Raw genomic sequence first — 15,831 nt, 5'->3', positions numbered from 1 at the left:
AATCAAACTAGAACTCAGGATTAAGAATCTCACTCAAAGCCACTCAACTACATGGAAACTGAACAACCTGCTCCTGAATGACTACTGGGTACATAACAAAATGAAGGCAGAAATAAAGATGTTCTTTGAAACCAACGAGAACAAAGACACCACATACCAGAATCTCTGGGACGCATTCAAAGCAGTGTGTAGAGGGAAATTTATAGCACTAAATGCCTACAAGAGAAAGCAGGAAAGATCCAAAATTGACACCCTAACATCACAATTAAAAGAACTAGAAAAGCAAGAGCAAACACATTCAAAAGCTAGCAGAAGGCAAGAAATAACTAAAATCAGAGCAGAACTGAAGGAAATAGAGACACAAAAAACCCTTCAAAAAATCAATGAATCCAGGAGCTGGTTTTTTGAAAGGATCAACAAAATAGATAGACTGCTAGCAAGACTAATAAAGAAAAAAAAGAGAGAAGAATCAAATAGACACAATAAAAAATGATAAAGGGGATATCACCACCGATCCCACAGAAATACAAACTACCATCAGAGAATACTACAAACACCTCTACGCAAATAAACTAGAAAATCTAGAAGAAATGGATACATTCCTCGACACATACACTCTCCCAAGACTAAACCAGGAAGAAGTTGAATCTCTGAATAGACCAATAACAGGCTCTGAAATTGTGGCAATAATCAATAGTTTACCAACCAAAAAGAGTCCAGGACCAGATGGATTCACAGCCGAATTCTACCAGAGGTACAAGGAGGAACTGGTACCATTCCTTCTGAAACTATTCCAATCAATAGAAAAAGAGGGAATCCTCCCTAACTCATTTTATGAGGCCAGCATCATTCTGATACCAAAGCCGGGCAGAGACACAACCAAAAAAGAGAATTTTAGACCAATATCCTTGATGAACATTGATGCAAAAATCCTCAATAAAATACTGGCAAACCAAATCCAGCAGCACATCAAAAAGCTTATCCACCATGATCAAGTGGGCTTCATCCCTGGGATGCAAGTCTGGTTCAATATACGCAAATCAATAAATGTAATCCAGCATATAAACAGAGCCAAAGACAAAAACCACATGATTATCTCAATAGGTGCAGAAAAAACCTTTGACAAAATTCAACAACCCTTCATGCTAAAAACTCTCAATAAATTAGGTATTGATGGGACGTATTTCAAAATAATAAGAGCTATCTATGACAAACCCACAGCCAATATCATACTGAATGGGCAAAAACTGGAAGCATTCCCTTTGAAAACTGGCACAAGACAGGGATGCCCTCTCTCACTGCTCCTATTCAACATAGTGTTGGAAGTTCTGGCCAGGGCAATCAGGCAGGAGAAGGAAATAAAGGGTATTCAATTAGGAAAACAGGAAGTCAAATTGTCCCTGTTTGCAGACGACATGACTGTTTATCTAGAAAACCCCATCGTCTCAGCCCAAAATCTCCTTAAGCTGATAAGCAACTTCAGCAAAGTCTCAGGATACAAAATCAATGTGCAAAAATCACAAGCATTCTTATACACCAACAACAGACAAACAGAGAGCCAAATCATGAGTGAACTCCCATTCACAATTGCTTCAAAGAGAATAAAATACCTAGGAATCCAACTTACAAGGGATGTGAAGGACCTCTTCAAGGAGAACTACAAACCACTGCTCAAGGAAATAAAAGAGGACACAAACAAATGGAAGAACATTCCATGCTCATGGGTAGGAAGAATCAATATCGTGAAAATGGCCATACTGCCCAAGGTAATTTACAGATTCAATGCCATCCCCATCAAGCTACCAATGACTTTCTTCACAGAATTGGAAAAAACTACTTTAAAGTTCATATGGAACCAAAAAAGAGCCCGCATCGCCAAGTCAATCCTAAGCCAAAAGAACAAAGCTGGAGGCATCACACTACCTGACTTCAAACTATACTACAAGGCTACAGTAACCAAAACAGCATGGTACTGGTACCAAAACAGAGATATAGATCAATGGAACAGAACAGAGCCCTCAGAAATAATGCCGCATATCTACAACCATCTGATCTTTGACAAACCTGAGAAAAACAAGCAATGGGGAAAGGATTCCCTATTTAATAAATGGTGGTGGGAAAACTGGCTAGCCATATGTAGAAAGCTGAAAGTGGATCCCTTCCTTACACCTTATACAAAAATCAATTCAAGATGGATTAAAGATTTAAACGTTAGACCTAAAACCATAAAAACCCTAGAAGAAAACCTAGGCATTACCATTCAGGACATAGGCGTGGGCAAGGACTTCATGTCCAAAACACCAAAAGCAATGGCAACAAAAGCCAAAATTGACAAATGGGATCTAATTAAACTAAAGAGCTTCTGCACAGCAAAAGAAACTACCATCAGAGTGAACAGGCAACCTACAACATGGGAGAAAATTTTCGCAACCTACTCATCTGACAAAGGGCTAATATCCAGAATCTACAATGAACTCAAACAAATTTACAAGAAAAAAACAAACAACCCCATCAAAAAGTGGGCGAAGGACATGAACAGACACTTCTCAAAAGAAGACATTTATGCAGCCAAAAAACACATGAAGAAATGCTCATCATCACTGGCCATCAGAGAAATGCAAATCAAAACCACTATGAGATATCATCTCACACCAGTTAGAATGGCAATCATTAAAAAGTCAGGAAACAACAGGTGCTGGAGAGGATGTGGAGAAATAGGAACACTTTTACACTGTTGGTGGGACTGTAAACTAGTTCAACCATTGTGGAAGTCAGTGTGGCGATTCCTCAGGGATCTAGAACTAGAAATACCATTTGACCCAGCCATCCCATTACTGGGTATATACCCAAAGGACTATAAATCATGCTGCTATAAAGACACATGCACACGTATGTTTATTGCGGCACTATTCACAATAGCAAAGACTTGGAACCAACCCAAATGTCCAACAATGATAGACTGGATTAAGAAAATGTGGCACATATACACCATGGAATACTATGCAGCCATAAAAAATGATGAGTTCATGTCCTTTGTAGGGACATGGATGAAATTGGAAACCATCATTCTCAGTAAACTATCGCAAGAACAAAAAACCAAACACCGCATATTCTCACTCATAGGTGGGAATTGAACAATGAGATCACATGGACACAGGAAGTGGAATATCACACTCTGGGGACTGTGGTGGGGTCGGGGGAGGGGGGAGGGATAGCATTGGGAGATATACCTAATGCTAGATGACACGTTAGTGGGTGCAGCGCACCAGCATGGCACATGTATACATATGTAACTAACCTGCACAATGTGCACATGTACCCTAAAACTTAGAGTATAATAAAAAAAAAAATTAAAAAAAAAAAAAAAAAGACTCAAATATATCTTCCCTGACCTTCTTTTTCTTCCAGAACTCTCTGCTTAATTCCCTTTTCTGCTTTATTTGTCTGCACAGCATTTATCACCTAACACACTGTAGAGTTAGTTATCTATTTTTTTATTGTCTGTCTTTCTCACTAGCATGTAAGCTCTCTCAGGAAGGGAATTCTGTCTATCTCGTTGAAGGCTGTATTCCCAGCTTCTAGAACAGAGTCTGGCACCTCGGAGGCATTTGTTGAATGAGTTTAGAGTCGAATCCTACTATTTAATATACCAGCATTTATAGAGAGATGGCAGTGTTCCTGACTCAGCAGGATGCCTGGCATCTCTGAGCTGGTGCTTTCTTGTGCCCCTGGCTGGAATGCCCTTTCTCTGGTGACCAGGAGAATCCCTGCCTAACCTTGAAGGCTCTGCCCGTGCCTTCCTCAAAGCCTCTCCTTACTCTTTTGATCTTTCCCTCCACCCTCCACCTTCTCCCCCTTCACACTCCACCAGACACCTGCCTCTCTTGAATGATCATGAGCTTCTGATCCCAACTGTGATTCATGTCCTTGCTTCACCTCTTCTTGGCCACTGACAAGTGGCTTAACTCCTCCAGGCCTCAGTTTCTTCATGCATAAAATGAGTCTAATATAATATAATATAATATAATATAATATAATATAATATAATATAACATGCTTCTGATAGAGCCGTTCTGATCATTAGTAGCCTTTTGTGAGATGGACCTAGCACTGTAGGCTCAACCCTGTGGGCCAAGCTGGTGGAGGTGGTACATTCTTGGTAGCAGCAGCATCTCCAGCCCAGGTTCCTGGGCTGTACTTGCCAATGGCAGGCCTTGAAACAGAGATGTGGCAGTGTTTAAGAAGCACTGGGCTACGTGAGGAGCACCCTGCCATGGGTGATGTGGGTACCTATGACTTCCCACTCCTGACTCTGTCTCTGCCACTTCCATTGGATGCCTGTGTTGCCACATGTCCTGTCAAACCTGCCATGAGCACAACATCACCCCATTTTCTACATCTACAGGTGAGCCTTGCACACCCACCTGCCTGCCTTCTTTGGGGTGGTAGGCCTTTGCTGAGAGACAGAGGACTCTGTGGAGGTACTGAGCCACTCTGAGCTGGTCAAGAGGAGTCTTCAGCCTTCATAGAGGGCTATTTTGCCATTTCTAGGAAACTGCATTTGCCAACTTGGAACATTCCTTCCAATTCTGAGAACCTATAGTTCTAAGAATATTTATCGTCTATATCCAGCCAAAGTTTCTTTTTCCAACCTTTTTTTTGTTGCTCTCCTGTCTTCACATTTGAAAATTGGAAAGCAAGTGCTCAAGTCTTATGTATTTAGAGGCAAGTTCCTTCTCCTCTAGTGCCCTTTCAAGCCCGGGAAGGAATTCCTGGTCAGCCATGAGCAACCGGCTTCTTAGAACATTGATAAATCAAAGGCAGTTTGGGTGGGAGAGAAAATTGGACTCTGGTGTGTATTCAGCTAAAGAGCAAATGCCCAATGTCTTTCTGAACTGAGCATCTTCTCTGTAATGATCTTGTGCCTGTGAAACCAACAAATGCATTTGCTTGGAAAGTATTTTAAAAATTCGTTCAGTACCATGTATTGAGTGACTACTCTGCTAGGTGCTAGGCTGAGTACTGAGAACACCATGCACACAAGACCAGATACAGAACCTGTCCACTTGGTGCTTGCTTTCTAAGGGGGTATGGACATTTTCACCAGTAGAAATTCCAGTTCTTGCAGGAAATGGCAGTCAGCTGCCTTCCTAGAAGGGGATGAAGACAGGCCTATGTTTCAATCAGTGGGCCATTAATGAAATAATCAGAAGCCACTCAAGTCAGCTCAGCCACAGGGGGTTGTTGTAAGGGAACTCATAGACTCTAAGTGTAGGTTACATGGCCAGGCCTTGTCATCATAGAAAGTCTTCAAGCAGCTATTCTCCCTCTATGACTCTTTCTGGGGTCACATGGTCCTTCTTCTACAAGGGCCATCATAACTGCCCCCAAATTGTGACCTCAAGCTGTGAAATCTATGAGCCTTTCCAGCTTGGCTCCCTGTATTGTTAGGGGTCCAGCAGGACACAAATGGCCTGCTCAAAAGTGTGGTCAAAGAGAGCTTAGAGAAGGGATGATTTAACCACTGCAAGGTTCAGGGAAATCTACAAGAGATGCTATAGCTTCCTGGGGCTGGCAACGTGGAAAATCCATCTCCTTCTGGAGACCTGGAAGAGTGAGGGGAGGGAGTGGCATTATTGAACCTAGCAATGGCTGTATGGATGGAGAAGTCATGGCTTCAGGTAGAGGAACTCAGCCACTGTCACACCATGGCCTGGAAGGGAGGGAGCAGTAGAAATAAATTCCTCTTCTTGTCTCTCCTTCCACTCATCCATGTCCTGCTGGTGTCTTGTGTTGGCCAAATCTGACTTGAATCCAGGAGGTCAGGAAGGCCAAATGATGAAACCACAGATAGAGTTCAGCCTCCCAGAGCACAGAGCAGGGCAGCGAAGGATGGTGGGTGGAAGTGGAGGTGCAAATGGACAATATCCATGGCTCCCTTATGTGATCTCTCCATCCTACTTCTTTTTTAGACAAGATCTTGCTTTGTCACTCAGGCTGGAGTGCAGTGGTGCAATCTTGGCTCCGTGTAGCCTCAAGCTCTAGGGCTCAAGTGATCCTCCCATCTCAGCCTCCCTAGTAGCTGGGACTATAGATGCCCATCACCAAGCCTGGCTAATTTTTGTATTTTTTGTTGAGATGAGGTTTTACCATGTTGCCCAGGCTGGTCTCGAACTCCTGGACTCAAGTAATCCACCCACCTCGACCTCTCAAAGTGCTGGGATTACAGGCATGAGCCATTGTACCTGGCCCATTATACTTTCGAATGCCCTAGAGAGAGAGAATCTAACTGGATCAGCTCAGACTGAGGCAGCAGCAGAAGGAAGCTAAGCACTATCCTCATTTTTAGGATGAGCAAATGGAGGCTGAGAGAGTAAAGCAGGCATGCCCAAGGTAACACAGAGAACAAATGGCAATGCCTCTGAGATTTTTTTTTTTTTTTTTTTCCTGTAGAGATGGGGTCTATGCTGCCGAGGCTGGACTTGAACTCCCAGGCTCAAGCAATCCTCCCACCCCCACCTCCCAAAGTGCTGGAATTACAGGCATGAGTTACTGAGCCCAGCTGCCACTGAGCCTTAAATGACCAAGAGCCATGGGCTCAAGTTAGCTGTCCTCCTTCGATTGCTCTCTCAGGAATATTCCTGGCCTGGGCTTAGGGGTGCACCTGCTGCATCTCTCCCAGGTGTTTCAACAAGTGCTACATTCAGGTGTCTCTTTAAAAATCACCAGAGGTGTTTAAAGATCATAAAGACTTAGGTATGAATGCATGTGTGTCCCTCAAAGTCTGTTCCATCTCAGCAGGACACTGTTCCTGACATTTTGCTGGATCCACTGTGGACTGTCTGGTCCAGCATCCTTAACTCCTGTGACGCTTCTCTCCACCTGCTCTGACTCCAGTGTTCATATTTGCCTGGGTTTGTCTGGAGGGGCTTTGGGAATGAGGAGTCTCCTCACCACTGTCACTACACTTTCACGAGGGTCACAGCCTGACCTTCACAGGGCCCTTGCTCTTGAGGTCGGCCTAGGCATGCTTTTGACTTTGCTGTGCCTGGGTCAGCACTGGCACCTTGAAGGTCAAAGTTGCTCCAAAAAGTCTCGGAGTAGAACTGCACTCACACCATCTGAGAAACCTGTTAGTACTTTCTTTTCTGAGACTCTTAAAGGAAGAGGTTTATTGTGGGAGTATCTGAACCTCTTGTGGCTAGGCAGTTGTCCTAGGCATCTTGCCTTGTTCCCTCCCAGTGTAACTTAGGCTTTTTTTGTGTGGTGAGAACAGAAGAGTGACTTGGGTTGCGTTCAGAGGCCAGTGCAGACTGCTGTAGACACAGCAGAGAGCAGTGAGTAGCTTCCAGCTGGTACAGCAACCATTCTGGGGTGCCAGCTGTGTGGAGTGGGTGCCGGCTGTGAGGACCTGGATTCCAACCAGCTGTGTGGACTGGGCCACCATCTGTGGGCTGCAGTGCCAGCTGTGTGCACTGGGGTGCCAGCCAGGTGTCGGGACTGGGTGCCAGCTGTGTGGACTGGATACCAGCCAGAGATGTAAACTGGGTTCTAGCTGTGTAGGCTGGGGTGCCAGCCATGAGAATGGGGGTGCCAGCATGGGTCAAGTTGAGGCTGAACTCCTCTCAGCTACTGGCTTACTGCATGTGCTTCTGTTTATGGCACAAGCAATTTCAATAAATCAAGGTCACTGAATCAAGTCGACTTTACCCAGAGACTTTTGTTGCAGAATTGAAGATGTGTTTCTTGGATGGGAAGAAAGGAGAATATTCTTAAGAATAATAAAAGCATCATTAGGAATGGGTCAGATCTTTCAGAATCATATTTGCAAGAGAAAGAATATTTATGTCAAGATGTTTATTTGTTCAACAAATATGGTGAACACCTACTATGCTGAAATTTGTTGAATGCCTACTATGTGGCTAGACATTGTATAAATTATCCCACTTAAAATAGGGGGCCAGGGGCCAAGATAAAGTACCTGGAAAGATTTCGATATTTGTTACATTCTACAAGGGAGGATTCCCTGGCTGAGGCCAGAAGGGGTGGGGAGGGTCTTACCTTTGTCCTTTTTTTTTTCTTCTGGGGAAAAATCTTCACCCTCAATTTGTCAGGGCCCAGCCATCAGAACTGGGTGCATTCAGGAGGAACCATGGAGGATCACAATAGAGGCAGCAATGGCAGAGTGGAGCCATGGGATACTGGGTGGTGCTGATTGTGACAAGGGCAAGAGATGCGGGAAGGAGCTGAGAAGACCTGAACAGTTCTGCAATGGGAGACAATTCCCTGGCTTATCTAGTCAACCAGCTTGATTATTATTTCCATACTTACTCTATATCAGTCCTCTCTCTTTCAGCCACACCCTGAATTGTACTCTGTTACCTTAGAAGTAGTGCATTTGATGGTTGTTTTGAAAAAATAAATGAATGAAGGAGGACCAGTTCATATTACCCTTCAAAAAGGCATAGGTAAGATATATACATGTGCATATATCCATATACATACCACACACACACAAACATACATATACTGCTTGATATGGTTTGGCCGTGTCCCCACTCAAATCTCACGTTGAATTGTAGTTCTCATAATCCGCATGTATTGTAGGAGGGATCAAGTGGGAGGTAATTGAATCATGGGGTCAGTTACCCTCATGTTGTTCTTGTGATAGTGAGTGAGATCTGATGGTTTTATAAGGGGCTTTTCTCCCTTTTGCTTGACACTTCTCCTTGCTGCCTTGTGCAAATACGCTCCTTGTGAAGAAGGATGTATTTGCTTTCCCTTCCACAATGATTGTAAGTTTCCTGAGACCTCCCCAGCCATGCGGAACTGTGAGTCAATTAAAACTCTTTCCTTTATAAATTACCTGGTCTCAGGTATGTCCTTATACCAGCGTGAGAACAGATTAATATACCACTCACATTTGTTATTCATGAAAGTTACATTCTACAAAGTTGCCACAGCTACCGAATTAGCAAGTAATGAACCATTGCTCCTAGGAGAAATACAAGGTTAGGTTTCTGTAAGCTTATGGTTTCAACATTTCTGTAAACTGATTAATATGTAACCTTATTTTATGTGGATTTCTCTTTAAAGATAGTTTATTTAGTATATATTGTTGATTCATTAATATTGAACTCATGGCCGATAGCACTATAACTCATGGCTGGAAGAAGCTTAGCTAACACATGTAATTTCTCTGGAAGGCACATCACGGCCTTCTTATACTTAGGAACACTAAAGAGCATTCTGGTGCTATTCTTGGAGGCCATTTTAAATAGTGAAATCACCAAGAAAGAGCATAAAAATGCAAAAAAAAAAAAAAAAAAAAGGAACGCTAATCAGACTGTGAAAAGGACACTTGTTTACAGTGTGAGAGCTGAAACAAGAAGGCAGAAGGTCACCTGTCTGACCCTAGCTGGGAATGTGTGTACATTGGGTGACTTGAATTTTTTCCTCCTCTGCACATGTCCACAAATGACTGTGAAAGCACTGTGAATATTGAAATTGATTTTGGGTTTACAAATAAATTTTAGCATGTAAGCAAATTCACAAACATGGAATCTGTGAATAATGAGGATAGACTGGATATATATGTGTATAGATATGTATGTCCTTATACCAGCGTATTATAACAGAGTATTATTACTCTGAGGCTAGAGGCTCCACCCAGAGGCAGAAAACACCAATTCAAAGTGACCTGGGACTTCAAAACAGAGACATGGGAACATGAGTTCACCTGAGATGGTCTCTATACTGCATTTCTTTAAGCATCTATAAGTGACCCTGGATCGTAGGGGCAGTGCACATTGAAGTATCTAAATCTGCAGTTCTATGGAGCTTGTTGGGACCTGCAATATTAAGTTGTTTAGGATTCACTCTGGGAAGACCTTTCAAGTCTTCTCAATCAGACAGAAAACACTGAAGTAGGGCCTGTTGTGAATGTATCACATTTAGAAAGGAAAAGTCATAACAGGTTCCAGGCCTTGGGATGGTCCTGGACGTGGGAGTCAATGTAGATTCTTAAACAATTCTGGTGTGATGTGCTGTGAAGATCAAGGTGGCTGGTCTTGGTCTAGGCAGCATCCTATCACCCACCCAGATCTACCAAGTTGGACACCTGAGATTTACCCTCAACTAATTTGTGATTCTACTTCCTTTATATCTCTTTATCCAGACCATTGGCCATTCTCTGACCATCTCAAGCCAGAGGTGACTTGATCTGTCACCCAGCTGTGGCCCATGAGCATTATCTAAGGAGGAACATTTTTGCTTACGTTTCCAGTGCTCTACATAAGCCCTAGGCCCTGGGTGAGTAGCATGCCAGAAGAAAATTTTCTTTGGTTGATACCTTTTCCTATCATGATCTGGGAGTAACAACCAGTGATCTATCACTGTCTTTTCTATTCAACTGAAATACACGTTGAGAAATAATGATTATGGTGATGATAATACAAATCAAAATACAAATAATGATGATAACACAAATAATAATGATAGCTAACATTTTGAAGTGATGTATACTCCAGGCATTGGGTCAAGTGTTTTATTTTTAAATTTTAATTTTATCAGAATAACACATGTACCTAGTTTCCCCCTAAATGTTTTATTTTGAAATGCAAATTTAAACTACAATGAGATGCCACCTTACACCAGTCAGAACTAGCTGTTATTAAAAAGCAAAAAAATAACAAATGTTAGTAAGGTTGTGGAGAAAAGGGAACACATATACATTGCTGGTGGGAATGTAAATTAGTTCAGCCACCGTGGAAAGCAGCTAGGAGATTTCTCAAAGAACTTAAAACAGAACTACCATTTCACTCAGAATCCAATTATTGGATATATACGCAAATAAAGATAAAACATTCTACCATAAAGACACATGCACTTGTATGTTCATCACAGCACTATTCACAATAGCCAAGATGTGGGATCAACCTAAATGCTCAACAATGGTAGACTGGATAAAGAAAATGTGGTACATATACACCATGGGATACTATGCAGCCATAAAAAAGAATGAGATCAAGTCCTTTGCAGCAACATGGATGGTGATGTAGGCCAGTATCCTAAGCAAACTAACATAGGAACTGAAAACCAAATACTGCATGTTCCGAGTTGTAAATGGAAGCTAAACGTTGAGTACATATGGACACAAAGAAGTGAACAATATACACTGGGGCCTTCATGAGGGTGAAGGGTAGGAGAAGGGTATCGAAGAACTACCTATCAGGTGCTATGCTCATTACCTGGGTGATAAAATCTGTACACCAAACACCTGCAACACGTAATTTACCCACGTAACAAATCTGCACACGTACCCCAAACCTAAAATAAAAGTTGGAAAGAAAAAAATAAAATTTAAAAAATCGACAGAAAAGTTAAAAGGAAGGTGCAATGAACATCTATATATCATTTATTTAGATTTTCCAGTTACCATTTTGTCACATTTGCTTTATTTTCTCATCTGTCTACTTATCTATTTTTGATTAATGATTTAAAATTATATTGCATTGTAACATTTTATCATGTATCTCCTGAGAATGAAAGACATTCTCCTATATAATCATAATACCATTATCAAAACTAAGAAATTTAACATCAATTCATTGCCATCATCTAATATGTAGCCCATGTTTAAATTTCATGTACTTAATTTATTTTTATTTTTCTAAAACTTTTATTTTATGTTCAAGGGTTCATATGCTGGTTTGTTATATACGTAAACTCACGTCATGGGGATTGTACAGATTATTTTGTGACCCAGGTGCTAAGCCTAGTACCCAATAGTTATTTTTTCTGCTCCTTTCCCTACTACTACCCTCCACCCTCTATTAGGCCTCCGTGTCTGTTGTTCCCCTCTTTGTGTCTCTGTGTTCTTGTTGTTTAGCTCCTGCTTATAAGTGAGAACATGTGGTCTTTGGTTTTTTGTTCCTCCATTAGTTTGCTAAGGATAATGGCCTCCAGCTCCATCTGTGTTCCTGCAAAGGACATGACCTCATTTTTTTTGGCTGCATAGTATTCCATGGTATATACGTTCCACATTTTTTTTTTATTATACTTTACGTTCTGGGATACATGCGCAGAACATGCAGATTTGTTACATAGGTATACATGTGCCATGATGGTTTGCTGCACCCATCAACCTGTCATTTAGGTTTTAAGCCCCACATGCATTAGGTATTTCTCCTAATGCTATCCCTCCCCTAGCCCCCTACCCCCTGATAGGCCCTGGTGTGTGATGTTCCCCTCCCTGTGTCCATGTATTCTTGTTGTTCAACTCCCACTTATGAGTGAGAACATGCGGTGTTTGGTTTTCTGTTCCTGTGTTAGTTTGCTGAGAATGATGGTTTCCAGCTTCATCCATGTCCCTGCAAAGGACCTGAACTCATTCTTTTTTATGGCTGCATAGTAGTCCATGGTGTATATGTGCCACGTTTTCTTTATCCAGTCTATCATTGATGGGGCCTTGGGTTGGTTCCAAGCCTTTGCTATTGTAAATAGTGCTGCAATAAACATACGTGTGCATGTCTTTATAGTAGAATGATTTGTAATCCTTTGGGTATACACCCAGTAATGGGATTGCTGGGTCAAATGGTATTTCTGGTTCTAGATCCTTGAGGAATCACCACAGTGTCTTCCACAATAGTTAAATTAATTTACACTCCCACCAACAGTGTAAAAGCGTTCCTATTTCTCCACATCCTAGCCAGCATCTGTTGTTTTTTGACTTTTTATTGATCACCATTCTAACTGGTGTGAGATGGTATCTCACTGCAGTTTTGATTTGCATTTCTCTAATGACCAGTGATGATAAGCTGTTTTTCATATGTTTGTTGGCTGCATAAATGTCTTCTTTTGAGAAGGGTCTGTTCATATCCTTTGCCCACTTTTTGATGGAGTTGTTTGTTTTTTTCTTGTAAATTTGTTTAAGTTCCTCGTAGATTCTGGATATTAGACCTTTGTCACATGGATAGATTGCAAAAATTTTCTCCCATTCTGTAGGTTGTCTGTTCACTCTGATGGTAGTTTCTTTTGCTGTGCAGAAGCTCTTTGGTTTAATTAGATCCCATTTGTCAATTTTGGCTTTTGTTGCACTTGTTTTTGGTGTTTTAGTCATGAAGTCTTTGCCCATGCCTATGTCCTGAATGGTATTCTCTAGGTTTTCTTCTAGGGTTTTTATGGTTTTAGGTCTTACATTTAAGTCTTTAATCCATCTTGAGTTAATTTTTGTATAAGGTGTAAGGAAGGGGTCCAGTTTCAGTTTTCTGCATATGGCTAGCCAGTTTTCCCAACACCATTTATTAAATAGGAAATCCTTTCCCCATTGGTTGTTTTTGTCAGGTTTGTCAAAGATCAGATGGTTGTAGATGTGTGGTGTTATTTCTGAGGGCTCTGTTCTGTTCCATTGGTCTATATATCTGTTTTGGTACCAGTACCATGCTGTTTTGGTTACTGTAGCCTTGTAGTATAGTTTGAAGTCGGGTAGCGTGATGCCTCCAGCTTCGTTCTTTTTGCTTAGGATTGTCTTGTCTATACAGGCTCTTTTTTGGGTCCATATGAAATTTAAAGTAGTTTTTTCTAATTTTGTGAAGAAAGTCAATGGTAGCTTGATGGGAATAGCATTGAATCTATAAATTACTTTGGGCGGTATAGCCAATTTCATGATATTGATTCTTCCTATCCATGAGCATGGAATGTTTTTTCATTTGTTTGTGTCCTTTCTTATTTGCTTGAGCAGAGTGTACCACATTTTCTTAATCCAGTCTACCACTGATGGGCATTTAGGTTGATTCTATGACTTGGCTGTTAAGAATAGTGCTGTGATAAACATACACATGCATATGTCTTTATGAAAGAACAATATATATTCCTTTCCTTTGGGTATATGCTCAGTAATGGGTTTGCTGGGTCGAATGGTCATTCTGTTTTCAGCTCTTTGAAGAATTGCCACACTGTTTTCCACAATGGTTGAACCAATTTACATTCCCACCAACAGTGTATAAACATTCCCTTTTTCTCTGCAACCTCACTAACATCTGTTATTTTTTGAATTTTTAATTACAGCCATTCTGACTGGTGTGAAAAGTGTCTGTTCGTGCCCTTTACCTACTTGTTAATGTAGTTATTTGTTTTCTCTTATAAATTTGTTTGTGTCTTAATAGATGCTGGATATTAGACCTTTGTCAGATGCATAATTTGCAAATATTTTCTCCCATTCTGTAGGTTGTCTATTTACTCTGTCGATAGTTTCTTTTGCTGTGTAGAAGCTCTTAAGTTTGATTCGATCCTATTTGTCAATTTTTGCTTTAGCTGCAATTGCTTTTGGCATCTTCTTCATGAAATCTTTGCCAGGTCTTATGTCCACAATAGTATTCACCAGGTTGTTTTCCAGGGTTTTTATAGTTTTTGGTTTTACATTTAAGTCTTTAATACATCTTGAGTTGATTTTTTTTGTATTAGGTATAAGGAAGGGGTCCAGTTTCTATCTTCTGCATATGGTTAGCCAGTTATACCAGCATCATTTGTTGAATAGGGAGCCCTTTCCCCATTGCTTGTTTTTGTCAGCTTTATCAAAGATCAGGTGGTTGTAGGTATGCAGCTTTATTTCTGAGCTCTTTATTCTGTTCCATTGGTCTATATGTCTGTTTTTGTACCAGTACCATGCTGTTTTGGTAGCCGTGTAGTGAAGTTTGAAATTAGGTAGCATGATGCTTTCTGCTTTATTCTTTTTGCTTATAATTGACTTGGCTATTCGAGATCCTTTTTTGTTTCATATGATTTTTAAAATAGTTTTTTTCTAGTTCTGTGAAGACTGTCATTGGTAGTTTGATAGCAATAGCATTGAATCTCTAAATTGCTTTGGGCAGTATGGCCATTTTAATGATATTAATTATTCCTATCCATGAGCATGGAATGTTTTTCCATTTGTTTGTGTCATCTCTGATTTCTTTGAACAGTGTTTTGTAATTCTCATTGTAGAGATCTTTCACTTCCCTGACTAACTGTATTCCTAGGTATTTCATTCTTTTTGTGGCAGTTGTGAATGGGATTGTATTACTGATTTGTCTCTTGGCTTGCCTGTTGTTGGTATAGGACTGCTAGTGATTTTTGTACATTGATTTTGTATCTCGAAACTTTGCTAAAGTTACTTATCAGCCCAGGGAGCTTTTGGGCACAGACTATGGGATTTTCTAGATACAAAATCATGTAATCGGCAAACAGGGATAGTTCGACTTTCTCTCTTTCTATTTGGAAACTCTTTATTTCTTTCTCTTGCCTGATTGCTCTAGCCATGACTTCCAATACTACGTTGAATTGGAGTGGTGAGAGAGGGCATCCAGTGGTGCCCGTTTTCAAGTGGAATGCTTCCATTCTAGCTTCCACCCATTCAGTATGATATTGGCTGTGGGTTTGTCATAGATGGCTCTTGTTATTTTGAGGTATATTCCTTCAATACCTAGTTTGTTGAGAGTTTTTAACATGAATATGTGTTGAATTTTGTTGAAAGCCTTTTCTGCATCTATTGAGATAATCATGTGGTTTTTGTCTTTACTTTTGTTTATGTGATGAATCATGTTTATTAATTTGCATATGTTGAACCAGCCTTGCATCCCAGGGTTAAAGCCTACTTGATTATGATGGATAAGCTTTTTGATGTGTTGATGGATTCAGTTTGCGAGTATTTTGTTGAGAATTTTTGCATCAATGTTCATCAAATATATTTGCTTGAAGGTTTGTTTTCTTTTCTTTCTTCTTCTTCTTTTTTTTTTTTGCTGGGTCTCTGCCAGGTTTTGGCATCAGGATGATGCTATCCTCATAGAGTGAGTT

The 15,831-nt window shown here is 40.8% G+C and overlaps 1 long non-coding RNA gene across 3 annotated transcripts in view; it reads left to right on the top strand.

Moving 5' to 3' along the window:
* LOC105378641 (uncharacterized) overlaps nucleotides 1-15,831 on the top strand; it is a 227,461-nt gene that overhangs the window by 115,895 nt on the left and 95,735 nt on the right. For all 3 annotated transcript variants that reach the window (XR_001737964.2, XR_001737966.2, XR_001737965.2), the window contains exon 4: nucleotides 10,178-10,311. This is a non-coding gene — a long non-coding RNA (uncharacterized LOC105378641). The remainder of the gene's footprint in view (nucleotides 1-10,177; nucleotides 10,312-15,831) is intronic.

The sequence above is a fragment of the Homo sapiens genome, chromosome 1 (assembly GCF_000001405.40).
Source record: "Homo sapiens chromosome 1, GRCh38.p14 Primary Assembly".
NCBI classification, from domain to species: Eukaryota; Metazoa; Chordata; class Mammalia; order Primates; family Hominidae; genus Homo; species Homo sapiens.
The sequence above is the reverse complement of the archived record's forward strand: the minus strand, read 5'-3'. Positions and strand labels throughout refer to the sequence as shown.